At 38.7% G+C, this 27,709-nt stretch overlaps 1 protein-coding gene across 11 annotated transcripts in view, besides 2 other annotated features; it reads left to right on the forward strand.

Moving 5' to 3' along the window:
* Positions 12,270–12,609: a silencer, noted in NCBI's record as "silent region_8736". NCBI's record gives its function as "represses an Ori minimal core promoter by ATAC-STARR-seq in GM12878 lymphoblastoid cells {active_cell/tissue: GM12878}" and the evidence as "EXISTENCE:reporter gene assay evidence [ECO:0000049][PMID:35858748]".
* The window catches only part of PCTP (phosphatidylcholine transfer protein), a 101,665-nt gene continuing 86,427 nt past the window's right edge, over positions 12,472–27,709 (forward strand). For 7 of the 11 annotated variants that reach the window (XM_047436500.1, XM_047436499.1, XM_047436501.1 and 4 more), the window contains exon 1: positions 12,472–12,665. In XM_047436500.1, coding sequence (XP_047292456.1) covers positions 12,525–12,665 — 141 coding nt within the window. In that variant the 5' untranslated portion in view covers positions 12,472–12,524. Of the gene's footprint in view, positions 15,510–27,709 lie in introns of all 11 variants that reach the window. The other 4 variants (XM_047436502.1, XM_017024913.2, NM_001102402.3 and 1 more) reach the window with 2 other exon arrangements.
* Positions 25,329–25,623: a silencer, noted in NCBI's record as "tiled region #14534; HepG2 Repressive non-DNase unmatched - State 7:EnhWF, and K562 Repressive non-DNase unmatched - State 15:Elon". NCBI's record gives its function as "represses a minimal TATA promoter and a strong SV40 promoter by Sharpr-MPRA in HepG2 and K562 cells {active_cell/tissue: HepG2 | K562}" and the evidence as "EXISTENCE:reporter gene assay evidence [ECO:0000049][PMID:27701403]".

Genomic DNA, 27,709 nt, shown 5'->3' on the forward strand with positions numbered 1-27,709 from the left:
TTTTGAAAAATACAATGAGTCTATCTTCAAAATGCTAAAGGAAAAAAAAGGCTTTGTTTAAATTTTAAATTTAATTTTATATTTTTAGAGATGGGTTTCACTCTGTCACCCACGCTGGCACAAGCATAACTCATTATAACCTCCAATTCCTGGGCTCAAGTGATCCTCCTGCCTCAGCCTCCCAAATAGCTGGGACTATAGACCTGAGCCACCATGCCTGGCACAAAAAAGTATTTTTAAAATCCCCAAATAGATGCCCTTATTTGGCTTGGTGGTTATGAGAAATGCCTTGGAATAAAGGGATCTGGATTTGAATCCCATTTGTAATATTTACTTTCTGTATATCTGTAAAAATGTCCTTTAGTCTTCTTAAACCATCTGTTAAATGGAAATATTGATACTTAATTCACTGGGTTTGTAGTGAGATAATATACTTTTAAGTACTGCGCATGGTCACTGACACATATTATACTGTCAATAAACGGTATTTTTTGTTTCTTGGTGTTTTTTTTTTTTTTTTTTTTGAGATGGAGTCTCGCCCTGGCACCCAGGCTGGAGTGCAATGGCACGATCTCGGCTCACTGCAACTTCCGTCTCCTGGATTCAAGCGATTCTCCTGCCTCAGCGCCCTGAGTAGCTGGGACTACAGGCGCGCATCACCACGCCCGGCTAATTTTTTGTATCTTTAGTAGAGACGAGGTTTCACCATGTTGGCCTAGCTGGTCTCAAACTTCTGACCTCGTGATCCGCCCACCTCGGCCTCCCAAAGTGCTGGGATTACAGGCGTGAGCCACCATTCCTGGCCTAAATGGTAGTTTTTAAAAAGACAAGAAAGACTGCAATACTACTGTTTACATTGCTTGGGAGTTCCAGCCCAGTGATTGTCAAGTTTGTTTTTATCAGTAGAACCCTTTGCCTCTCTGGCCAGGTGCAATGCCTGTAATGCCAGCACTTTGGAAAGCCAAGATGGGAGGATGGCTTGAGGCCCGAAGTTTGAGACCAGCCTAGGCAACACAGTGAGATCCTCGTCTCTCCAAAAATAAATAAATAAAAACCTTTGCTTCTCATAAACACTTCTTCAGAGTCTGAATGCAGAAAACCAACAACTTAGCTTTTATTTGTAAAGCAAAGATGACAGAGCCTAGAGCTCTGTACCTGCTAGTTTACCCTACTTCCTGCAAAGACACCAGGAGCATCTGCTGAGACATTATGAAAACCATTGTTTCAGCCCAGCTCATTTAATATCATGGGAAAGAAAAATGATTGGTACAGCTATTAGAAAAGCTATGGTAAAGTTATCTCCTTTTTTCCCCTTAACAATATGATTGTCTATTTAGAAAACTGAAGAGAACAACTTAAAAACTAATAGAACTAACAAAAGAATTTAGTTTGGTGACTAATTCATTTATCATTTATAAACACACATATATATATACATACACATATATCTATAGCCCTAGATCCAAATCTCTCTCCCTCTGTATGTACATATATATATATATTCTAGATATATATCCAGAATTCTTATATTATTTCACCCAATAGATATTTGCATACTTATTATGTGCCAGGTGTGTGCTAGCGACTGGGGAGGCAGTGGTAAGTAGGGTAGCAGGTCTCACTGTCCAGCTTATGCTCTGATGTGGGAGACAGACACTTAACTAATTACTAACTAACTGAGATTAGTGTTGGAAAGCAATTAATATTTATTTACTTATTTACTTTTTATTGTTTTCCTCCTACCCCCACTGGGGTACAAATCCAATAATAAATGCAATAAATTTCATGCAAGAAGAAAAGAAAAGGCTGAAATAAAAAAAAAGAAGAGTTGAGGGAGGGTTGGGGTTAGGGGAGGAGAGTCTATGGAAGGAGTGCTCAAGCTGATACCCAAAAGGTAAGGATGGCTGAAGTGCTGAGGAGGACAGGTGAAGTGGAGAGGACAGCATGGGGGTGCGGGGGTTGAGAAGAGAACACAGGACTTTGTAGGCAAGGAGTTTGAATTATATTTAATGCTCTGTGATGTCATGGGAGGATTTTAGGGAGGGCGTGGCATGATCTCCTTAGCATTTTAACACAGCTCTCTCTGTCTCTGTGTAGGGAGTGGATCCAGCAGGGAGATGTCAGAAGGTCACTGAATCATCAGGGCAACATTGATAGTGGCGTCAGCTGGGTGGGCAGTCCAGATAGAAAGAAATGAACAGATTTTAGCTATGTGGGAAGTAGAAATGGAAAAATTGTTGACAAATCAGATATAGGGTTTGAAGAAAGCAGAAAAATATAGTTGTAAGGTTTTCAAACTTCCAAACAAATCTGATTTGTCCTCATGGACACACAACCTTAGTGAAAAAGCAAGCAGGAGGCGCCTAAATAAGTTTTCTTCCCTGGCGGAAGTGGTCTATATTAAGTCTGCTGAAGTCACCCAAGCATAGTCTACTTTCCCAGAGAAAGACAGCCAGGACTCTGATTCAAACTTGAGACCTCCACTATAAAGTGAAGATTTCAGGTGCAGGAAAAAAGACATCGATATTTATGCAGATTAGTATGAGGGTGCAGTTCTGTAGTCTGGGGATCACAGCCCAAGTGTAACTCTAGACTTTCGGGCTGAAATATCCTGGTGTTGAACTTGGATCTCCTGCCATAATGAATCAGGGAACGGAAGGGACTTCGTAATACAATACATCCAGCTTGTCTGTGGAATCCCGTTACTGGAAGAAAGGTGAATGATGACTTTATTCTCTGATCCCTTCCAGGATTCAAACAAACCTAGTGTTCTGAACTGTCATTTTGTTTAGTGAGTTTCACATAAAGTATCTGTATTAACAGGTAAAACTGTAAACTCATCTTTCCTAACATCTGATTTTCATGTTCTTATTTTACTTACGTTAGCAGGCTAAATATACCATGGACTCTCAGTCTTTATGGATGTATGACAACATGGTTTGACTAACTGAATAACAAAGTTATTATCCAATCCTTGTGCCTCAATTCCCTCATCTGTAAAATGAAAGTGGTAGACTCGATAACACATAACATGTACATAAAATGATTTCTGCAATTCGTTGTTTGTGTTCATGTGTTTACATGGACTACTGGTTAAGGATGAGATTTGGCATCTGATACATCTTTGTACTCTACAGCAGCCATTACGGCCATGAAACCATAAAAATTTATACTGAAGGAGCTTTCAGATGTAGCCTTTAATGTATTCTTTTATCTATTAGTGTACTCACTCATTTGACAAATATTTATTAATGATAAATACACAATTGTCAAATGAATGAATACATAAATAAGAAAGAGAATACATTAAAGGTGATATCTAAATTATTTTTCAGCATGACATTATATGACATTTATGGCTATAATGGTTCATAAAAAGCCTTTTGGTAATGAAGACCTTTATAAATGTAATGAGGTTAGAAGCTGTGTTCACTGCTTCATGCCTGCAGATTTGACATCCATAATAGATGCCCAAAACATGAGAAAGGGGGCTCTGAAATCTCACAGAACTGACTCTAAACTCCAGCTCTGCCTTTGACCTGCCCATGAGACCTTGGACAACTTACTTCACTTCTCTAAACTTCAGTTTCTTCCTGTGCAACCTGGAGATTATAATAGAACTGACTTCACGGTGAAATTGTTGGAATTAAATGAAAACACTTAGCATAGTTCCTGGTCCATAATGAGTACTCGGCAGGCTTAAACTATTATTAACTGACTGTTGCAAGTTATTTTATAAGCTTTAGAGGCCAGGAACAGTGGTCTCTAAAGCTTATAAAATGACATTTTTTTTTTTTTGCTTCTTCATTGCCCTACCATGATAAAACTCTAGTGCTTTTGTGTGTGTGTGTGTGTGTGTGAGATGTATTCTCACTTTGTCCCGCAGGTGGGAGTGCAGTGGCGCGATCTTGGCTCACTGTAACCTCTGCCTCCTAGGTTCCAGTGATTCTCCTGCCTCGGCCTCCCGAGTAGCTGGGATTACAGGCGTGCTACTGTACTTTAATAGGAGTAGACATGCAATAGTAAAAGTTGAATAGACTAGAACTAAACTGATTTGGATGGCAATTGAAACATTAAAATCGACTCTGCTGCAGAATTTAGAAATGCCTATCAAGTGTTCACTTTCACTTTTCGGAGTGCTTTTGCTCATATTATCTGTTTAATCATGTCAGCAAATCCTTGAGATCGGCATTATTATTTTTACATCACTGTTAAGTAAACAGGTTTAAAAAATTAAAGTGACTTGTCTGGTTCTTAAAGTGACTAGAACTTGTCCTTGACTCTTGTCTTGGGAATCCACATACAAAATTAATTCTACAATGTGAAAAATATCTTTAGGGGAAGTGAGAAGTTCTGGTCTTACCCAGATGTTTTCTCTATGATACCACGTATTTCATTCACTTCTCAATTGCTCGGTGCATAATAGCTTTTACTAGTAAATAAGAACAGATACAGTAGCCTCTCCTTAGCCATGGTTTCATTTTTTCAGGTTTCGGTTACTTGTCAACTGAGGTCTGAAAATATTCAAAGGGAAAATTCCAGAAATAAAAGAATTCATAAGTTTTAAATTGTGTGCCATTCTGAACAGCGTGGTGAAATGTTGCACCATCTCAACCCCTTCCACCTGGGACATGAATTATTCCTTTGTCCAGTGTATCCACTCTGTCTACGTTGAGTGACTCACCTGCTGGAAGGCAGCCAGCTCAGTTATCAGATTGTCTTGATAATTCAGTGCCTTTCTTCAAGTAGCCCTTATTTTACTTAATTATCCTATGTAATGAATAGTTATTGTTGTTAATATCTTACTGTGCATAATTTATGAACTAAATTTTATCACAGGTATGTATAGGCAGGGAAAATCATAGTGTATGTAGGGTTCAGTAAAGAAAAATCATAGTGTTTGCAGGGTTCAATACTATCCGTGGTTTCAGGTACCCCCTGGGGGTCTAGAAACACATCCCCTGAGGATAAGGGGATGTATACTGTATACTTTTAGTATCTCAATTTCTTGAAAAAAGTTGATCAACAGGTAATGCATGTGTGTTCTCTATGCAGTTAGACATCTGTGAACATTCATTCATTTATTTTTAATAGCATTCCAAAATGGTGTTTTTTTTCTGCTATTTTTTCATTACAATTATACCTTTATTAGAATTTTTAAATTTAAATTATGTGTAATTCAAAAACACCAAAAGGGGCAGATAGTAATAGAACATTCATGAACCCACCACCCAGCATATACATTAATATCATGCCTTATTTACTTTATACTTTATTTAAAAAATAAAATATTACAGCTACCACTGAAGTTAATCTGAATCCCTCCTATTTACATTTTAAACACTTCAGGGCATATGTATAGTTTATAAACACTATGAAGTTTCTTGCCCTGTACATCCTTCTGTGACTTGCCTTTTTCATTTAACAGTTTTCAAGATTTATTCATGATATGCAAGTATATATATTGTTTATTTAAAAAACTATCAGATGAACATATTTATTTATTTATTTACTCTGTGGTTGGTGGATATTTATGTTGTTTCCAAGTTCTTTCCACTAAAATAATGTGCATCCTTATGCAGTATTATCAGTTCTCTCAGGTATACTCAAAAGTGGAACTGCTGGGTCAGACTGTGTGTATTCTCACATTTAATAGGTCTTGTTGAGTTGTTTTTAAAACTACTATTTGCACTTTAACCAGAATGTTTTATGTTGGAACTTCCATTTCCCTGAAAATTCACCAACACCTAAAGTCAGATTTTAAAGTTTTTGCCAATTTTCTGTAAATGAAATGGTACAACTGATTTTGCATTTTTCCAATTACTATGTAAGTAGAACAGCTTTTCCTTGTATATATGCTGTTTGGGATTTTCCACTGTTCATATTCTCAGTTGCATTATTTGGGCTTTCTTATTGATTTCTGAAATTTTGTTGTATATTTTCAATATTGATCCTTTGTTGGCTATGTGAGTAACAAATGTCTTCTACCAATCTATGTGATGGATTTTAATTTGTTTATAGTGTATGACTGAACAGGAACTCTTGCTTTTTAAAGTAGGCAATAATTAATCTTTTATGGTTTGTTCTGTATTGTGTCTTTAAGAATTTTTTTTTAACTTTTAGGTCATAAAGATTTACTCCTATATTATAATTTAAAAGTTTCCACATTTTGCCTTATGCAGTTGGTTCTTTACATGTCTGCAATTTCCATTATTGTATGATATGATACAGGAATATAATTTTAAAAATAACAATAGCCAGTTGTTCCAACAGCAGTTTTAAAATTGTCCATCCGTGCTTATGTACTGTGTTTCGAAATGTACATGGACTTGATGATGGATAGAAAGCTGTTACATGAGTTTTTTTTAAATCACTTTTTCCCTAGCCCTAGGTCAATATGATATTATTTTCTTTATGATAAATCCTAATATCTTACAGGGAATATTTTTATTTTTTCCCTCCTACTTTAAAAAATTGCTTTCCTATGTTTTCAAATTGCATGACCTTTAACACTTCCTTATGAATTTTAGAATTGGTGTGTCAAGTTCCTTGAACACCCTTTATGGAAATCTATTTAAATACCATTGGATTTATAGTTTGTATAGATAGAAATGGTGTTTAAAATATTAAATATCTTAAGCCATATGTATAGTATCAGTGAGAGGTCAGTGCAGAAAACAAACACTCTCTAGGTATCTAAGCAGAAATGAATTTAATACAAGGAATTAGTTGTGGGCTAGCTCCTGGAATAAGTATGTATTTGTTTTTTTTTTGTTGTTTCCAGATGTATAGGGGGCAGAAACTGGCTATTTTTGTTCATTTGCTCCTTCTTCTTTTTCTTTTTTCTTTTTTTGCATTGTCATTGGAGAACAGTATTGATTCTTCTGTATTTGTTGAAAACATCCTTTGTGGCTTACAAGATTGCCAATTTTAATGAATGTTTTATGAGGATTTGCAAATGTTGGTGTGTTCTACTTATTGAGTATGAGGTTCTATATATGACCTTTAGATCAAGCGTATGAGTTTTATGCTTAAATCTTCCCTATCTACCAGTTTTTCTGTCTGCTTGGTCAATTTCCTAAAAAAGAGCCTTAAAATGTTCCACTGTAATGATGAATTTGCTGATTTCTCCTTATACTGATGATAATTTTTGCCTTACATATTTGAGATTAAGTTGTAAAATGAATACATACAAATTTAAGCATTCCGAGTACCTGAAGAGTTATCCTTTTACCATTAACTCAGAAACTTCTATTAACTTTTTTCTTTTAAAGTCCATTTAGTCTGATATTTTAGGAGTCACACAAGCTTTCTTTTGTTTCAGATTTACTTGTATATATTTTCCATACCTTTAACTTCACATTTCTGTGTAATTATGTTTTAGTTATTGTCTCTTATAAATACATATATCTGGGTTTTTCCTAAATTTTTATTTTGAATAATTTCAAATATGCAGAAAAGTTGAAGAAATAGAAAATAAAATCCTGGCTACCTTTCATCTAAATTTATCAATTATTTATTTTGTCACTTTTGCTTCTCTATCTATATATCAATCACACTTTTTTTAATGGAACCATCTGAACATAAGATGCAAGTATCATGCTGCTTCACCCCTAAATAATTCAGCATTCATTTCTCAAGAATAAGAATATTATTCCACTCAACCACAATAACATTTTTTACACCTACAAAGTTAACAATAGTTTTATAATATTTTCTAAAAGTGGTGCATAAACAAATACCCCCAATTATCCCAGAAATGCCTTTTAATGGCTTTTTCCTAATCCACGACTCAAGATTTATGCATGACACATAATTGTTATTTCCCTTGACTTTTAGAATAGTTTCTTTCATATTGAATTGTTTTAGTAGTTATTCTGAGGAATTTTCCACTTACTGGATTTGTCTGATTGGGGTCTTATGACTAGTTACAAGTTAGATATTTTGGCAAAAATGTTTAGGTGATATTATAAACTTATTGCATCATGTCATGGAGGCTGTGATGTCAGTTGTCCCACTATTTGTGATGCAATTGATAGCTTGGTTAAGGTGGCAACCACTAGATCTTCCCATTATAAAGTTACACTTTCCTGACTGTACGTAGTAAGTAATCAATGGGTGATTCTTTGCAATCAAATGAAAAGTCTAATCTGCATACCCTTTCACCCAGTGGTTGCAGCATCCATTTATGATCCTTGCCTAAATCTATTAATTATTAATAGGGGGTCAAAGAATGCAAGTTTTCAAATGTTGACATTCTTTCTACCTGAATTTTTTGGCATTCTTTTCTAAAGAAGAAATTTTCTCCTCTCTGTCTTCCCTATTTTTCTTCCCTACTTTTTTTTTAATTGAGTAACACTGTGGACACACAGATTTCTTTTTAAATCCAATATTTTATAATCTATTACTATAACTATTCTTTGTGATCTCAAATTTCCCAAAATTTGGAGACTGGGAACTCTTTCAAGCCAACTCCCATATCTTTTAGACATAACTCTAATTGTCTTTGAACGTCTCTCCTTATTCTCAGGCACAACATGTTTTAGGCTTACTTTAGAAGTTCCCTGCCCCAGTTCTAGAATCAGTCTTTTTTCCAAGAATCTTTTAGTAGACAATGATATACAGAAGCCAAGAACTGGCCACAGGTGCGCTCAATGCTAATGGCATGCCAATGCTTCTAGGCTTCCAGATCATTTTAATGGACAGATCAAGGAACACACACACACACACACACACACTGAATTGTACTGCATTGCTGAATATATCACAACTCGTTTTATCCATTCACCCATTAAAGGTCATTTGGGTTGTTTCCAGTTTGGGGCTAATACAAATAAAGCTTCCATGAACATTTGTGTACAAGTCAATGTTTGAACAATGCTTTATTTTTTTCTCTTGGGTGAATACCTAGGAGTATGATGATTGGATTGTATGTTAAGTGTACGTTTAACTTTTTAAAAAAATTGTCAGTTTTCCAAAGCATTTGTACTGTTTTCATTTCTACCAGCAATGTATCAGAGTTCTAGTTCCTCAGCATCCTTGCCAACACTTGCTTTGATTAATCTTTTTAATTTTAGCTATTCTAAAATAGCCATAGTGGCACTTAATTGTGATTTTAATTTACATGACCCTATTGACTAATGTTGTTGAGCATCTTTTCATATTCTTATTTGCCACCAGTATATATTTTTTGGTGAAGTGTCTGTTTAAATTTTTTTTTTTACCTATTTTTATTGGGTAGGTTTTTTTTTATCATTGATTTGTGAGAGTTCATATCCTCAAAGTTTAATATGCACAGTTAAAGTAAACTAAAAAACACTAAAGTTAATATCTTGCATCTGCCTCCTTAACACAACTCTGATCTTGCCCTCCCTTGTTCCAGGTTTCTGTAGGTTAGAACTTTTGTTCCACTTTATTTTTATATGTGCCTTTTTTTTCTGTATTCTCCCCACCCACCCATCCCATCCCCTGGCCTCTTTATTCTCTGATTATTGGGCTTCAGTAAGAAGTGTTTAGCCTTTTCAATGTGTCCTTCGTGTTTCTTAATTACTCTTTCATGTTTTCCATTTCTTTATACCTCTGTTCTGCTTCCTGGGAATTTACTCATCACAGCTACTTTCTTATTCCCTGATCTCTCTTGAACTGTGGTAGGGCAACCATTTTACCTTTCTTTTAAATTTTTAATTTTAATAACTATATTTTGTATTTATGGAGGGTCTACTTGGTTATTTTTCAAAGTCAATGCTCTTCTCTTCCCCATCTGCATTCTGAATCACATTAAAGGTAGATGCTAATCAGACAATGGATCAGCATTTCACCTTTATTACAAATAAAGCTGCTTGGAGAACAGGGCTTGGGTTTGTGGCAACAATAGAATTATAACACTCTGCCTATAATCAAACTTGCCATCCAGGCACAGGCATCATTAGGAAACCTAGATTCTGGTGTCAGAGCCTGTCCTCTTGAGTCTACTATAAAACCTAAGGCAGATGAGAATGCATATTTTCTATGAGTAGACAGTTGCCAAAAAGGAAGAGCCAGAAGGGTTGATCTAGACCTGACCAGTAGTTCCTTCTCCTAAACTCATCAACTACAGTCATGCACATCATAATAACATTTTGGTCAATGTTGGATTGCCTGTATGATGATGGTCCCATATGATTATAGCACCATATTTTTATTTTACCTTTTCTATGTTAATTAGGCTTAGATACACAAATACCATTGTGTCACAATTGCATTCAGTATTCAGTACAGTAACATGCTGTACAGGTTTGTGGCCCAGGAACAATAGGCTCTACAATACAGCCTACATATGTAGTAGAATCTACCATCTAGGTTGGTTTAAGTGCACTCTATGATGTATGCTTTAGGATGCAATTGCCCGATGACACATTTCTCAGAATATATCCCTGTCATTAAGCAATGCATGGCTGCATTTAAATCACCCATCTTCTCCAGAGTAGGAGTTGAGCAAATGAGTGAGGTCAAACATTTCCCTAATGGAAGTTCCTCCACTGGGAAACACTGCATGGGGAGGTGGGGAGAGGACCAATCATCCATTCTAAGAATATTCAGGAGCTGGTGTTGCTGGCTTTCATTCTCTCTTCCCTTTCTGAAACCTGGAAGTATCCTTTTTCACTTTTCAGCTAAACCATGTATTTACAACTATTTTCAACACGTTTTAACCAACATTTCCATGTTTGAAGCCAGGAGCTTTAGTTGCCATTTTGCCAGAAGTTGTTTCAGAGAGTTTTTTTTCACAAAGGAAACAGGCTATTAAGGCAACTTCTCAAGAACAGGCCTTCCTGGATCCCTTTCCTAGCTGTTTTTAGACTTTAGAGATACCATAAAATATTTCCTAACATTATTCTTTCATTAACTGTAATAAAATAACTGAGTGTAAATCTCAGCATATTCAAGGATATATTTATTTTTCTCCTGAGTTTATTAGGCAACACACTTTTAAACACATACAATAAATACAATTTGAAGTGCGTGCTTTATATCTTGCATGATGTCGTTTGTGTTCTTATGCTTGTCTCCATTAGTCTATTGCCATATAGTAATAAAGCTTTATCAAATCAAACCTTTATAATGGATTCCTTGAAGATACTTGAAAATACTTCATAGCCAATAGTTTTTACACAATTGGTTTTTCAAGCAATGAATTTCCATTTAAATAAAATATGGATTTACAATACATAGAAAATTTACAAGGAGTTATAAAACAGTGGGAAAGTATGTCTAGCCTAAACTTTTGTGCATTTAGTCTAGGAAAATTTCACATCCCTCTTTCCACACCTATAAAGCCAAACAGAACCAGGACTGACTTGAGGAAAGCAATTATTTATCTCTGCTGTGTCTAACTAAGCAAGCTGCCAAATGTGATCATTTGCCTGATTGGAAAATCACATAAATTAAGACTTTGCCATCAACTTTCTTTCAAGTAAGGAAAGAAAAGCATTTCAATATAGTAATGCAAAACAAGTGGAAATTGTTATTGAACATTTACTTGGACGGGCACTGTGGAAAATTATTCCTTGTCCAACCACCTCCTCAGCTGTAACTGGTAGCACAATTCTTGACCCATTTTACAGATTAGGAAACATGAGTTTCCAGAGTTTATTGGCACTCACGTGGCTGTTACATCGTTTTGATGTTCAAACGACCTACTTTATTCAAAGTCAGGTAGTACAGTCTGCTGGTGGGAAATACAGTATTACTCAAGGGACTTCAAAGGAACAAGAAGATGTTTGAGTTGCACAGTGAGCTAAATTATGCAAGTTGCAGAAATCCTAGGTGGATAGTACGACACCTTTCAGATCAGTTTCTACCCTCAAGGGTGGCAACAACCTTGTAGATCCATTATGGATTAGGTTTCTAAACTGTTTTGGTGTTATGAACCCCTAGAGTCTTCTGGGGAATCCAATGGACCTCGTCTCAGAATAATGTTTTACAATGTATAGCAGAAAGAAGAGAAATTATATTGAAATACACTTCTGGCATTTGACCCCTTAGGATTTTTCCAGCATTTCTACTCTGCCCACCTCTCCTCTCATGTCTACCAAAGAGACTTTCTCTACTTTATTCAGAAAGGTAAATGAGAGACACTCAAACAGGTCTGTAGGTTATGGGAGTAGCAGGGAGTATGGGATAGGCTACTGAGGAGCTGTTTTTGAGGTGACATCACTGTCTCCCTTCCTTTTTCCCTTCCCTCTGGAAGCCTCCTTACTTCTCCAGCTCTTCCTTCCTTCCCCACATCAAGTCCAATTTTTCTCCTTTTACTTCTTGTCTATCCTCCTCACTCCTTGCTCAGCCCCGCCCGCTTTTCTAGGCCCGCCCCTCCAGGGCCCCACCCTCAGGCCGCTCCTCCAGTCTAGGCCCCGCCTTCTCCTCAGTTTCCTGCCAATGACGCTGGGGCAGCCGGGGCAGCCGGGGCAGCCCGGTCACCCCGCCCCCAGGCCCACACTAAGGGTGTCCGCGGCCTGCCCTCCAGGCGGAGGAGCCCGGACTGCGGAAGGATGGAGCTGGCCGCCGGAAGCTTCTCGGAGGAGCAGTTCTGGGAGGCCTGCGCCGAGCTCCAGCAGCCCGCTCTGGCCGGGGCCGACTGGCAGCTCCTAGTGGAGACCTCGGGCATCAGCATCTACCGGCTGCTGGACAAGGTAGCGGCCAACCCGCTGGAGGACCGCGGGGCCTAGAATGCGCCGGGGTCGACCTCCCCGCAGGGAGTGCGGGGCGGCAGTCGCGGAAGGGACAGGGGCGCGTCTTCTCCGGCTCAGGAAGGAGCTCCGCCCGGACCCTGTCTCAAGCTCTGGAGCTAGCGCAGGGGCGGTGCCTCCAAGTGACTGCCGTGCAGATCCAGGGGAGTTGGAAGGTCACAGGAGTTCAGCCTCAGGTCAGGCCCGACGGGGCATGTAGTTAGAAGTTAATGACAGTTGAAACGTGGGTCAGCTGGTTCCTAGGCCCGTGCACACGTCTGCAAGGGACGTTGATCCTCACTCTCCAATGCGTGTCAGTGGCATATGGGGGCTGGGGTGGGGGAGGGGCGGTATCTTAGGGCTTGGATATAGGAGGAAAAGAAACAGAACTTTTCAAGGACTGGATGTGCAGGGTGGTGTCAGGGGTTGCCGAGAAGGGCCCTACTGTTTTAGTGACTCGTTTCTTTTGGTTGTTGCCCCTTCCTTCCAAGTTGCTCTTAATAAGTTGAGTCCGAATCTTCAGGCAGGAGTAAAGATGTAGGAGGAATGGGATTGGTTGTTGAAGTCTTTGGAATCAGGTAGCCATCCAGGTGGAAGGCATTGCCCCTGAGGCCTGTCATCCAAGGCTTGTCATCAGTTGCTTTGTGTAATAGTCGCAGCATGGCAAGTAGGTTAAAAGTCGCCTGCAGGTAATGTGGGTGAAACTGAAGTTTCCTAATACAGGACCAGGATATTATAGTGTTAGAGTTAGGAGGATACCTCATGCTCACCTGGTTAAACCCCAGGTTTCATAGGTGAAAGCAACAGGCCTCAAGGGTGAAGTCACTCCTGAAATGGCCCAGATAAGTGAATAGCAGAGGTGGGATTGGAGGGTTCATGATCTTGTGAATGTCAAACATGTGGTTGCCTTTTTAGGCACTTGCATTTTTGTTTACATCAAATATAGTGTTTTTATATTTTAAAACAGAAAACAAACGTTTGCAATATTTAGAAGTTGCTCACCTGTTAAACAGGAATGAAAACTCTGCCTGTCTCATTGCAGGAATGAAAACTCTGCCTGTCTCATTGCAGGGTTGTTAGGGGGTTCAAATCCAATCTGTCAGATATGTGTGAAAATTTGATAGCTGTAAATAACTCTACAATGCACAGGACAGTGACCCCATACCTCTCCCGGGGAAGAATTATCCAGTCCCAAATTGTAATATTGCCAAGGTCAAGAAACCCTACTCTAAATAAATGGAGAATATAGGTATTATGAAGAAATTTCCTGTCTAAATACATATATATTTGCTTTGGATGCAGTCCGTCCCTCTCCAGTTAGTGGGACTGTAAAACATGCTATTTGGAATACTTACAAATTAGTAGGGCTGGCCTTTACATAATCCAGAACACAGCAGATACTGCAAGTGGCTAAGCTGCCATATTTACTTTTTTTCTGTATACAGATGTTATATCTTGATGGATTACTCACTCAACAAACTCTGAATGCTTGCTGTGTACTAGGACCATTGGGTTTAACAAGATGATCAAGAAGTTCACAGTCTAGAACAGGCAGAATTAATTTCTTAGGGTAACTTTAAAAGGTACCTTAGTTTGAAAATTGATACATTTTCAGAAAAAGTCTTTCTTTTAATTTTTATTTTTTAGAGATGAGGCCTTGCTATGTTGCCCAGGTTGGTCTTGGAACTCCTGGGCTCAAGCAGTCCTCCTGCCTCAGCCCTCAGCCTCCCAAAGTGCTGGGATTACAGGGATGAGCCACCACACCCAGCCAGGCAAAATTCTTTTATCTTCTCTGCTATTCCATTTTTCTTACCAGCCACATCAAGGCTTTGGCCAAGTTTTGTTGATTCAACTGCTCAGACGTGTCTAGCATCTGGCTTATTTCCTCCCATTTTCTTTCCTTTATCTTTGCTACTTTGGGTACTCAGCACCCCTCACTTAGAATTGCAGTGACCTCTTAACTAGTTTTTGGCCTACCAGCTCTCTGCTCCTGTCTATCCTACACCTTCCAGTGCAGTCAAACATCTGAGAAGCAGTGATCTTATCACTACCTTTTCAGTGGCCTATTGATTGCAGAAATAATAATAATCATCACTGTAATAGCTAACATTTATTGCATGATTTCTTATAATTCAGGTGCTAAGTGTTTTGGAAGTATTGATTTACTCAATCCTTGCATCAACCCTATGATAAGGTACTATGATGATCACCTTTTTACCTATATATAAATGAATGCATAGAAAGGTTAAGTTGGTTTCTCAAGATTCCAGCTAGGATCCAAACCCAGCTGTCTGCCTCCAGTCCTGTGTCTTCAACATGCTCCTGCATTGCCTCTCCAAACAGAAGGCAAATGCTGCCTGGTGGGTACACTGAACTAATTTGGTCTCAACTCACATTTCCATCATTCTCTCCCATTACCATAGACCTGACATCTTCTCCTCTAGCGAGCCCAGACCGCTGTGCCATCTTCCCTGTATACAGACGAGGCAGTTGAGGTCCAGGGAAAGTCAGTGGCATATACAAAGCACACGGCTAAGAAGTGGTGAATAAAACTGGGATTTAGATCCAAGTCCATCTGCCCATGAAGCCCCTACTCTTTCCCCAAGCCACACACACTCTTTTTCTAATAAAGCTTCCAGCATGTGGGATGGACCGTCTTAGGAGGGTGAGTCCTCATTATTGGAAGTACAGTACTGTGTTGGAGAAAAAACTCAAACTGTTTTTTTCATTATCTCAACATCACCAACAACACAGAAGCACAGAAGACTCCTGTGACCAAATGTCTGAGGATTTCTCTCCAAACACCAAGTAAGCAGTCAGTTTTGCGGTGGACGTCAGCTAGGTGTCCTCCTGTTCAGTGTTGACACTACCTACCTGGAAATAGTGTCAGATCCCGTAGGTTGAGGTCCCAGTCCCACAAGATTAACCCCCTCTTCCCTGCCACTTGTAATGCCAGTTGAAAGCCCCAGGTTGTTTTACCTGTGCTTCTGACCAACTGGCTGTAAATAGGGGATCCCATGACCCCCTCCTTGGATTCAATTAATTTACTAGAGAGGCTGACAGAACTCAGGGAAACACTTGCTTTCATTTACTGGTTTATTATAAAGGATACTACAAAGTATACAGATGCATAAGATGAGATATGGGGGAAGGATCTTGGAACTTCCATGCCCTCCTTGGATGCATCACCCTCCAGGAACCTCTATGAGTTCAGCTATCCAGAAACTCTCTGAACCCCCTCCTCTTGGGTCCTTTATGGAAACTTCATTGGCTAGGCATGATTGAAGCATGGACAACAGTGTTGAAATATGACTGGACAGAAAGGGTCTGATCTCATATTAATAGACTGATTGGGGAAACCCAAGAAGGCCTGTCCAGATTCTTCTGGCCTCTCCATGCGACATTCCTTCTTCCAGGGTATGAGGCAGGACCCTCCCTGGAATGAAGTTCTTGCAACTCTTGGCTCAACTCCTGAGGCCTAAAGTGCACCAACGTACAAAAGACTGTAACGAGGGCTATGAGAGTTATGAACCAGGAACAGTGGATAGAAACCTGTGTGCGCGCGTGTGTGTATTGGATGTACAGTACTGGAGTATGTATGTGGGTGTGTGTGTATACTCTATGTCCAATACACACACGCCGCCACACATATGTATACACACATATGTAAATTATATATTTATATACACACATATACATATGTATGTATATGTATACATTTTGTATATATAGCTCATAATATCACAAGTACTGTATTCAGAAAGGAGACCAGAGACAATTTGTTTATATACTTCATTGAGCCTTTATTGAGGATCTGCAATGGGTCAGATTTCCATCTATGGAAATGGATCTGAGATAGAGTTGCTCCCCTGAAGATTCTAGTGGCTTAGTTATGAAGTTATGGGCGTCGGTTGGACTGATGGTCCTTTAAGGACCCGATTGTGCATAGCATGCTTGCCACTGTGTGGTACGAGCTGGTTGTGACGACCCTTCACTTTGCTTCCCACACTCAGCATAGAGGTGGCCAACCTAAGGCCAAAGCTATGTGGCTTCTTGGGGCTCTTGAGCAAGATTTGAAACAAGAATAGAGAAAAAGAAAATTGTGACCATGATTTAAATGATGCTGTAACAAAGTTACTGTTACATGTTTTTAAAAGACTGAAAGAAGAGTAGAGGCTCTTGAAAGAGATTTCAATGTAGCAAATTGTATTTTGAAATAAAAATAATAGAATTGTGTCCTTTTTTTTAGTAGACACAAATTATTCTGAATCCTGTTCTTGGACAAGTGGGCAATTTTGATGTACAGCTTTTGATAATTTTTTTTTGTTTTCTATTTTTCTCTTAAATCACAAAATTCTGGACTGGAAAGTTTCTTCTAAGCCATGCTGTCCAACACCATTATCTTTTTCCTCTACTTCTTCTTTCTTTGCCTACTCTATTTCCTTCCTCTCTTATTTCTTCTCCATGTTGTAATGATAATAACTTTATTTGATGCTGCAAATTATAAATGCTGTCATATAAGTTTTCACTTATCCTTCTAAAGAGATGTGGAAGATAGGCAAAAATGGGCTTACTTTACAAATGGAAATAAGATCCAGAGTTGTTGAGCGAGCCACATGAGACCTCATAACTAATAACTAATGTGAACAGTCTACTATGATAAACTCAGTACCAAATACACAACTTGCTTCCATACAAGAACTACATTCTGTTTCCGGAGGCTAAAGCAAAACTAGACCAGGGCTGCCATGGGTATTGTGGGAAAAGCATGGATTTTGGAGTCAGATAGTCCTGTGTGAGAGTCTCAGCTCTGTTCCTCTATCATTCATTTAAGCATTTGGGAGATATTCATCAACTGCCTCCCATGTGCTACTGTCTTCATAGACCCTGGGGATAAGTGGTGAAGAAGGAACATGGTGCTGCTGCTTCAATGAATGAGCTTCTTGAACATGGATCATATTCATTGATGAGAATAAGCCCATAGTATATGATGAAATGTCCAGTGGAAAATGCTATAAAGTACTTTAAAGAAAATGTTATAAAGAAAATAAAGCGAGATAAAAGGATAGAGAGATGGCATGGCAGGGTAGCCAGGGGTGATGTGATGTGTTTCAGATAAGGGAGTCCAGAAAGGCCCTCTGTGGAAGTAACATTTGGCCGATTTGAATAATGCAAATATCTGGAGGAGAAATGAATCTGAGAGTGTTTCTCAAAGTTCAAGCACATTGGAATCACTCGAGACAGCTTTACAAACCATACCAAGCCCTACCTTAGGGATTCAGGTTTAACTGGTCTAGGGTGGGGCTTTGGTGGTCCTTTTGAGAGGCTCCCCCTTCACATAGGGGTTAATTATTTTGTCCTCTCTACTTTCGTGTATGTTTGAAATCTTTCATAATAAAACCGTTTTATACACGTGTGTGTGTGTGTATTATGAATGTGTGTGTGTGTGTGTGTGTGTGTGTATATATGTATATATATATTTAGGCTTCTCAGGAGATTCATATGAACATGCTGGCTTTTAAGCCACTGAGATAGAGGGAACACTGGGTTCTAGTCCCTCAGCCAGGCTGAGCTTGCCTCATTTTCCAGGAGGAGCCAGGAGGCCCACAGGACTGGAGTGGATATGAGATTGAAGAGTGGCCAGGGGCCAGGCCCTACTTACTGGCCAGGTGATATTGATCAGTTACTTTTTCATTTTGAAATCTCAGTTTCCTCATTTGCAAAACCTGGATAATACTTACCTTTCAGGGTTGTTGAGAGGATTGAACGAAATGATAACATGGCAGAATTGTTCTCAAACTTGAGTGTGTATTGGAATCTCAAATTTGAGCATGCATTGAGTGTGCATTTGGATATATATATGTACACACACAAAAGCATGCATTGAGTGTGCATTAGAATATATATACACACACATGCTTGTGTGTGTATATATGTATATATATACACATATATACATGTATACATATATACACATATATGTGTATATACACAAGCATGTGTGTGTGTGCATATATATTCTAATGCACACTCAATGCATGCTCAAGTTTGAGATTCTAATACACACTGAAGTTTGAGAACCATTCTGCCATGTATCATTTCATTCAATCGTCTCAACAACTCTGAAAGGTAAGTAGTATCCTGGTTTTGCAAATGAGGAAACTGAGACACACACACACACACACACACACACACGTATGTATATATATATGTGGAAAATACTATATGTGTATATATATACACACACATATAGTATATATGAATATATACACATGTATATGTGTGTGTGTATATATACTAATCACACTCATCAATGAATGTGATCCACGTTCTCATCAATGAATAAGTTCTATGTTCATGTATGTATGTGTATAGATAGATAGATAGATACTCTTCTTTTTTATGCATTATATTTCTAACCAGCTGCTGAATGATGCTGAGGCTACTGGTCCGGGAATCACACTTTGAGAACCACTGGTGGATGGGGAGCATCTAGCATGGTGCTGAGGCAGTTCTGACATTGAGAGCTAAAGTCAGAGGCAGGAGAATACCCTAGAGATGAGATGCAATGGAAATTGAAAGATGAAAGTGAGACCAAAAAATGTCTTAAGACAAAAGCAACATCCATTTTAGGGCTCCCTCTCCCTGATGTTTAAGTTAGTGGTCACTTGGGAGTAAATGTGGTCCCCTGAGCAGTGCTGAGAAGTTTCCCTGAGAGAAGGGCCATGGGTCACTTAGAAAAGCTCTTCCAGTGATCTGCAAGTCAGGCCCTTGCAGGAACTTCAGGCTTCGTTACCATGCCATTAACCACTGCCCATAGAGTGTGGAACCAGTGCGCAGAGGCTCACAGCTTCAATTTAGAGAAAATAAATGTTGGACTGAAAAGCTCTGGCTGATGGCTTGACTTATTAAGTTTTTAAATCTAAATATCTGGCACTGTGAGAAGGGGCAGCCTAAATTGTGTTTTTGTCCTTGAATAGGGCTTCTAATCAAAGAGTTTGGTGAGGAGCAGACAGTACTTTCCCAGGGACTGTTCTTCCCTGTGCTCTTGACCTACTAAAATTCTCAAAGACCAGCATGACTGGAAAAACTGCATTTGGGCAGGCTGGGCTGAGAGAAAGTTTGGCCTTTAGAGAGAAACACAGATCCATCTCACAGGAGAAGAGATTTCACTCTATAGATGTGAAATCCCTACTCCTATTTCCCCAGATGGGATAATAAGCCAATTAGCATCATGAGCCCCATTACTTCAGGATTGTAAAACTGTTCTGCTCCTTTCTGTCATCCTTCTGATTACCAGCGTGATTGATAGAATCATTCTTGAGCCCTGGTCACTTATGGAGCTGAAATTTACTTGTGGGCAGAGCCACCATGTCTCCAGGACACCCGTCTGTGGCATTCTACTTCCCACCATAGACCAAGGCCAGCTCCTTCTTTTCTGTCTCCCTTGAGTGTGCAACTGGGTAGATAAGTTAGAGTCTCAGTTTTTCCCTCTCCTCGCATCTGTCTTAGGATAAGCCTGTGGGTATGAGGCCATGCGAGAATGCTGGTCTCAAGGTTCAGATTTGGTGGAAGGAGGGGAGAGGAAGGAGTAAGATGCCTCCCTTCTGTCTCCAGGTATAAGCCAAGCTTTATGCTCTCACTCTGTCTTTCACCAGATTGCTGTATGGCGATTACAGGAGGTGGCTATTAATAAAACAAAACACTGATATTTCATTCAGCCTTGGGAATCCCTTGAGAAGAGAGATGACTTGTAGGGAAGGGTATAGGCATTCTGAATGCTTGGACATAATACCATACCAACATCTGGAGTGAACCAGCAGGTGAATCTGGGGCAATGCTGAATAGAGGTTCTTGTCTCTATACATGTGCCTTTTCTGGACATTTTGCAGAACATCTTTAAGCCTCAGTTTTCCTGTTTGAAAAGTGGGTTTACTGATGGTCCATACCTCGTATCATTATTTGGATTAAGTGGGATAATCCATGTAAAAGCACTTGGATCAGTGCCTGCTGTTCAGTTAATACTCAGTAAACATCAGCTATGAGTATTGTTTTACCTAGCTGTGTGCAACCCTGAAGGATTAGACCTATCACATTTTCTTAGAGAGGTCTTAAATATTAAATCAGATTTAGCCAACTATCTGTCTTTGTAGAGTCTTGGCACATACTTCCCAGCAGCAGCTGCAGCTTTGACTTCTGCCATTAGAACTGCTTTACTTTGATGAAAAATACTTATTTTTCATACCATCTGAGTCTATTACTTGCCCCAAAGTGGATGGACTTGGACAGCTTTTAGATAAATAGATTGGGGGTGTTTCCTGTCCCTCTGAGGAATGGAAATGAGCGCTTCTGTGAGAGGCAAAGAGAACTCAATGCACACTCATGAGTGCATTCACAGGATTTGAGAATATGTGATTTATCAAGACCACCTTGTAGTTAGTGGTGTAAATTCAGATAAACACCATAAATTGGAGGTAATGAGTGGTGCCTTTCTCCAGGCCTGGATGGGTGATGGGACATCTACAGGAGATTACTCCTGTGTGGGGATTGCAAGTGTCATTTGCAAACATTACGACATTTTGACACATCTCATATGTAAATGCATAGCATCTCTTTCAGAGTTTATTCTGTTTGGGACAAATAAGTGTACTGTTGACAATAATATTTCTCAGAATACTTTAACCTTGTAAATATAATTGAAAACAAATTGCACAGATGTTTTTTTTCACGCATTTGAATCACCATTGCTGAGAAATATACCAGTTTAATGTTTCGACAAGTTAGCCAGCACGATAGCATCTCAAAAATTAGTGATAACAGTAACAGATTTCCTGGCCATGCATTCCCCTGTCTCCAGCCTCCATTTCTTCACTTATAAAGTGGAGTTAATGATGCTTACATCACAGGATTATTGCAAGTATTCATGATTAAGCCCAGCCTGGCTTAGAGCAGGTTCACTGTAGATATTGGTTTTCCTGAAAATGTACATTACAGTTCTGAATCCCAGTTCTTTAATCTGGAAAAAGGAGATTATCGTACCTACCTTGTTAATGAAATAGTAACCTACCTTATTAATGGGAATGATATCTAATATTTACTAAGTACTTATTATGTGCACCACATAATAGAACTTTAGATGGATTATCTAGTTTAATCCTCATAATCATTCCATGAAGTAGAAACTTATTAGACCCATTTTGCAGGTTAGTAGTGGAAGAGGTTAGATTCTACCCAGACGGTGAATCTGAGCCCATGCTATTACCACCACACTGTCTTTTCTGACTAGCTTTTCTGATTTATGAGACAGCACTTTGGAATAGTATATGGAAAAACTTGGCACAGTACCTCATCTGTTGAAAGTGATAATATTCATCTTTCTCTATACCTGCCTTTCTCCTGGTTCCTTTCTGAACCCTTCAGAAGCAGCATCTAAAAAAAAATACTTCTTCTGGCCCTTTGGAGGCCTGTTGGGCAAACACACCAGGCTTAGGGACTCAGGGGAGCATCTCAGTGGGAGGTCCGTTCTGGGTGGCCTGGAGCAGGAGTACTGGCTTAGGGAAGGAAAGGGTTCCCATCCAGGCTTTGCCACCAACAGCGTCATCAGCTGACTCTTGGCAAGTCACTCACATTACACAGCTAAGCTAAGACCCCTTCCTGCTCTAAGATCCTGTGTGATGGGTCTTCTTTATCTTTATCATTAGTTTGTGGTCTGGAACAATGATTTGGGAATGACATGCAGAGAAAATACAGCTAAATAAGGAGACATTGTAGGGAATAGAAGGGGCCAGTGTGCAAAGACACACCATTTCTTTCTGTCTGTCCTGTTACTAGCTGTAGGACTTAGGCAAGTAAGTTGGCCTTTCTAAGCATCATTTCCTTCTGTAAAGGTAGAGATAACACCAACTTCCCTATCTACATCACAGGGCTATCTTAGCTGTTACATGAGAGAATGAATATAAAACGTTGGAAAGTGGACCATGCTTAGAAAAACAATGACTAGTATTATTGAAAGAATTTGTAGCAGGTCAAAGGGATTAGAAAACTCCTTCAAATACAAAATACATGACTTTTGTTGTATTGTTAATAAATCATCAAGGGAAACAGAATCCAGTCTGCAGTCAAGTAGAAGCCTCTGCCTGGTTTCTTCTTGGGATCAAGATATAGTGAATACCAGCTGGTATTCACTATATGTACTATAGCAGGTATATATAAAAATATATATACCTACTGGCATTATATATACACATATATATCTGCTGGTATTATATATAAAATATATAATATATAAATATATGTAATATATATTCTATATATAACATTATATTTATGTAGAATAATATTTCTATATATATTTATATATATTTTTTCTGAGTTAGTTATTCAAAGGAGACAGTACTTTTTATAACATGGCATGTAGGGTCTTGTACGCATTTGTGCAAAACTAAATGTTGTATCTCAATTTAATATCCATTAAAGTGTCCATTATCTCTTCCTTGACAGTACATTTTAGCAACATTTATGTACTTCTGTACTGTTTTAATGAATTTATGTATAATTATATTTCTTGTAAATATTCATAAGTCTTACCAGCACTATTCTGTCAGTCTACTTTTTTACCTTGATGTCAGATTTTTAAAAATAAATCTGGACTTGGTAAGGAGAGACTTGTATTCAAATGGATTATTTCAAGGAGTTAGGGAAAGAAGTATTACAGTAGGAAAAGTGCTTTGCCGATAAGCTCTGCAGGCATCTTGGGAGTTGCAGAGCCGTTCTTTTATAAAGAGGAGCAAAGAACGTTAGAAAGAACCATATGCGGGGATGTGGGATGAAAGGATGGCATGATCGGATAGCAGATCAGAGAATACTTTTCCCTGAGCCCAGCCTGTTTTCAGGAGGGACTGTATGCTGGCTCAGGTTTAGGATGGGCCAAAGTTCAGGGGCCTGGAGGAAGGAGAAAAGTTCAACCAGTTGGGTTAACAAGCATTTTGTTCTGGTTGATCAGTGGGGGTGGGCAGCTTAGCTAATCATTTATAAGACAAAGAAAGGGAAATCTGGAGGGTCTGTGTCTGGCCTTGTCATAGGTAAACGGGGGCATCCGTGAGTCTTATCTAAGTCATATGGGGAAGGGTAGTGGATCTTCACAGTAAACTTTATGAAACACAAAAGGTAGGGGATTTCTTAACCTTCACTGTAATCTAGGATGACAGGGTTCAAATAAAATTCAGCATTGTTGATAAGGACCACTATGTCAATTAGGATTGTTTTTAGCTACAAGTAATAGAAAATTGGACAATCAATGACAAACAGAGGCATGTTTATCTCACCTAATAAATAGGTCAGAGTTCTACCTATTGGTAGAGTTTGCTGTCATTGATTTAGCATTCAGTGATGCCAGCAACCCTCTGAGTCTTTCTACTCTGTTTCTCATGTTGATTGCCTCTTGGTCATAGGATAGTTGCAGCAGTTCCAACCATCATGTCCACATTTAAAACAGGGATAAGTCACACGGCTACCTCTCCCTGCAGAGGAGACCAGGGAAGTTATTGGCTGTTTACATTGCCACGGGGTTCTCTTAATAAGGAGAAGGAGTGTTTACCACATCAAGTCTTATGTTTCTTCTGGCAGTTGCATTCTGTACATGATACTGGCTAATTCTCTACTTCCAACATAATCCTTTTACTATTTGAATTGTAGGAAACTAAATGTCTTATAACTGGAGCATTAGAAAAGTATCCATTATATTTTAGTCTAGATAAGGAAATTGAGCCACTGTTAGAGGTGGTTTTCTGGAGGAGCTTCAGGAAAAGCCAAGAATCTCTTGAGTAAGCTTCTTTGGAGTCATTTATTCAAATGTTAGTAAGCTTGGAAAAATAAAACCGATATTGCAAAAGATTTATATCTCTAATTTTAAGAGATCTTACACATCAGATCTTATTATAGTAGCAATAAAAGTTTTGCCAAATAAGTTTTGCTTTTTCATATCAAATTGTTTGTATAAACAATGGTGCCCAACGCTGGTGAGATGCTCCTTTGGAACTGGTGAGAGGAACTGGTGAGAGTACACACTTGGTGCACACGTTCTGCAAGGTTTGTAAAAAGTATAAAGAGCCTTAAAATGTTAATCTACTTATCCTAAAATTTATCTGTAAGAAAACATTTGTAGTAAAAAAAAAAATAGAATTATGGACCAATTATTCTATACAAACATAAATATTCTGGAAATTTTTTTTCATAAAAATATTTGGAAACAAATTTTTTTGGAGAATAATTGAGTTAGGTATGGAGTCTTCATAACCTCAGTATAATATTTAGTTAAAAATAAGAATACAAACTATTTATACCATGTGATTCCCGTTTGATAATGTACAGATGTATTTATTTACTTAAAGGAAATATGTCAAATATTATCAGTAGATATTTTTGGATTATGGGGTTACATGTCACCTTTTAAAAATTCTTTTTGTCATTTTTATAAACTTTTTAATTATAAAAAACTATTTTTTAAAATATGAAGTAAAAATGAGTGTGGTTGCTGAGATCCTTTTTAAAAAGAAATAATGGGTGAGAAAATGCTTTGATTCAAGAATGTGGACCAGGCTGTTCAGCGCTTGGACATTGTATTGATGAAGTAGGAAAGGTGTTGCCGTGTTATGGAGCATTTGGTTCCTCTGGAGCTCTGGCATTGCTCAGTTCTGCCTCGAAGGGAATGTTTAAAGGAAGTTGTCGCAATCGTTCATTCTTCTGTACTCACGCAAATTATGGTTGTTCTATTTTTCTCTTCCTTGAGAACTTCCTGTTCTCATTGTCTGTGCCATATAACAGGATGGAAGTCACTATGGGTTGTAACTACATTCAGGAGAAGAAGAGAACCAGTGTAAGGGAACAGTGTGTTTTAATTTATGCAGATATCCAATGCTAACTTATTTAAAGGTTGGGGAGGTCATTATCTTAACACATAAGAATTCTTGTTGCTTAGAATGTGTGGAAAACAAGGCCTCAGTTTTCTTGAATAATTGCTATTTGTCTCCCTTCCAAAGCCTATGATGAAAACAAGTGTGTATGAGTGTAAATGTGTGGGTATGTATAAATCCTTACTAAGTTCAATTGTGTGTGTGAGGGGAGGGGGCAAGAGAGAGAAGATGTTTATCTTCCTGACATCTCTCATCAGACCCTGAGGTCTGCCCTTCTACTGGGGCATCCATGGCATGGCACATAAGGGGTTCAGATAGACTAGTTTGATATTTGCTGGTTGGAAATTCTTGGTATAAAATCACATGCTTTTAGAGCTGGAAGATTCTTATGGATTCATTTTCAATTTTACATTCATTTTTTGCCAGGTACTTTCACATACATCTGAGATTCCTAAACCGGGATGTATTTATCCCTAGGTTATACCACCCAAGCTAGAAGACCCTTAAAGCTTCAGGATCTCTAGAAAGATTCAGCATGTTTATTCCTTGACTTCCCCTCAGGCCATGGCACAGTGTTTACAGAGAGGGCTTCATTCATGCATGATTAACCAGTAACACGGCCTTAGCACATGGATGCAAGAGTTCATCCAAAAGTTTATGTTCGTTCATTTGTTTCTTTGCCTTTGTGTTGAAATTAATCTAATAGCCATTGCTTTAATTTTAATAATAGAGCCTTTAGGCAAAGCTGAGGGTCAGGAATTGTAAATTGCCACCGTACAGAGAGTGAAATGTGTGATGGGGCAACTCTAGGCCAGGACCCTCATGGACAAGAATATGGCTTACCAAGGAAACAAGGGAACTCTCTTGTACTTTGGAATCTAGAAAGGCCTTTTCCCAAATCAAAGGAACTTATATGATTTGAAGCAGATTTCTTTTGTTTTTCATTTTCAGTCTTTTATACAGAATCAAAAAGAAGCAGTTGTTGAAAAATTCTGTCTTGGAATTGATAAAACAATGTGTTGGGTTTCACTATGCCACATGGCTATTTAAAATATAACCTCTCTCGAGAACTGTAGCTGCCTATGTGACACCCTTACTTGGATGCTTAATAAACATCTTAAACTCAACTTGTTCAAAAGAGAACTCTTAATTACCCCAAAAGCCCACCAATCACCTCTTCTCCAAGTTTTTTTTCTGTCTTAGAAGATGGCATTCCCATCTGCCCAACTTGGGTTATGAAAGTTATCCTTGATTCTTTGCTTTCCCTTTCCCCAGGATCTATCAGGAATTCCTTTTTACTTTACCTCCAAAATATATCCTTAAATCACTGACTCCTCGCCATCACTGTTGTTACTTCCCTGTTCAAATCACCATCATTTCTTATCTGAACTATTGCACTGGTCTTCTCACCCATCTCCTTGTTCTCTGATGATCTATTTTCTACCAAGCAGCAAGAATCACCTTTAAAAAATTAATTTGATTGCGTCATTCTTAAACTGAATTACGAATCAGATCTGGTCATCCCTCTGTTTAAAGCCATCCATTAGTTTTCCATAGCAATGAGAATAAAATCTTTACCTCTTACCCTGGTTTACAAAGTCCTTGGGGTCCAGCCCTGACAAACTCTCTAACCTCAGCTCCTGCCACTCTCTCTTTTATCCAGAGTTCTCCAGACCCCAGGTTCTTTAAAGATGCCAGCCCACCAATCTGAGGACCTTCCTTCTACCAGGAACGGGCTTTTCCTATCTTCCTATGGCTGGCTTCTTCCAACATTTGGAACAAGATGCTCTGATAAATGTTAACTCTCATAGAGGCCTTTCCTGATCACCTGATTACATAGATGTCCTCCCCATCCCCGCCCTTGCAAGGCATCATTTATCACACAACTCTTCTTACCCTATTTAAATTACCTAGATGGCACTTATAGCTATCTCTAGCACTGCTGCCTACCTGAATTTAAGATCTCTGAGAGCAGGGCCTGCACCTGCTTTTTTATCATTGTGTCACCAAGACCACAGAGGAGGTCAGTGTTTGGTGTGGCATGAACGTCGTCATCAGCTGCTTTTCTTTTTTTTTTTTTTTATTATACTTTAAGTT

The sequence above is a fragment of the Homo sapiens genome, chromosome 17 (assembly GCF_000001405.40).
Source record: "Homo sapiens chromosome 17, GRCh38.p14 Primary Assembly".
Classification (NCBI taxonomy): Eukaryota; Metazoa; Chordata; class Mammalia; order Primates; family Hominidae; genus Homo; species Homo sapiens.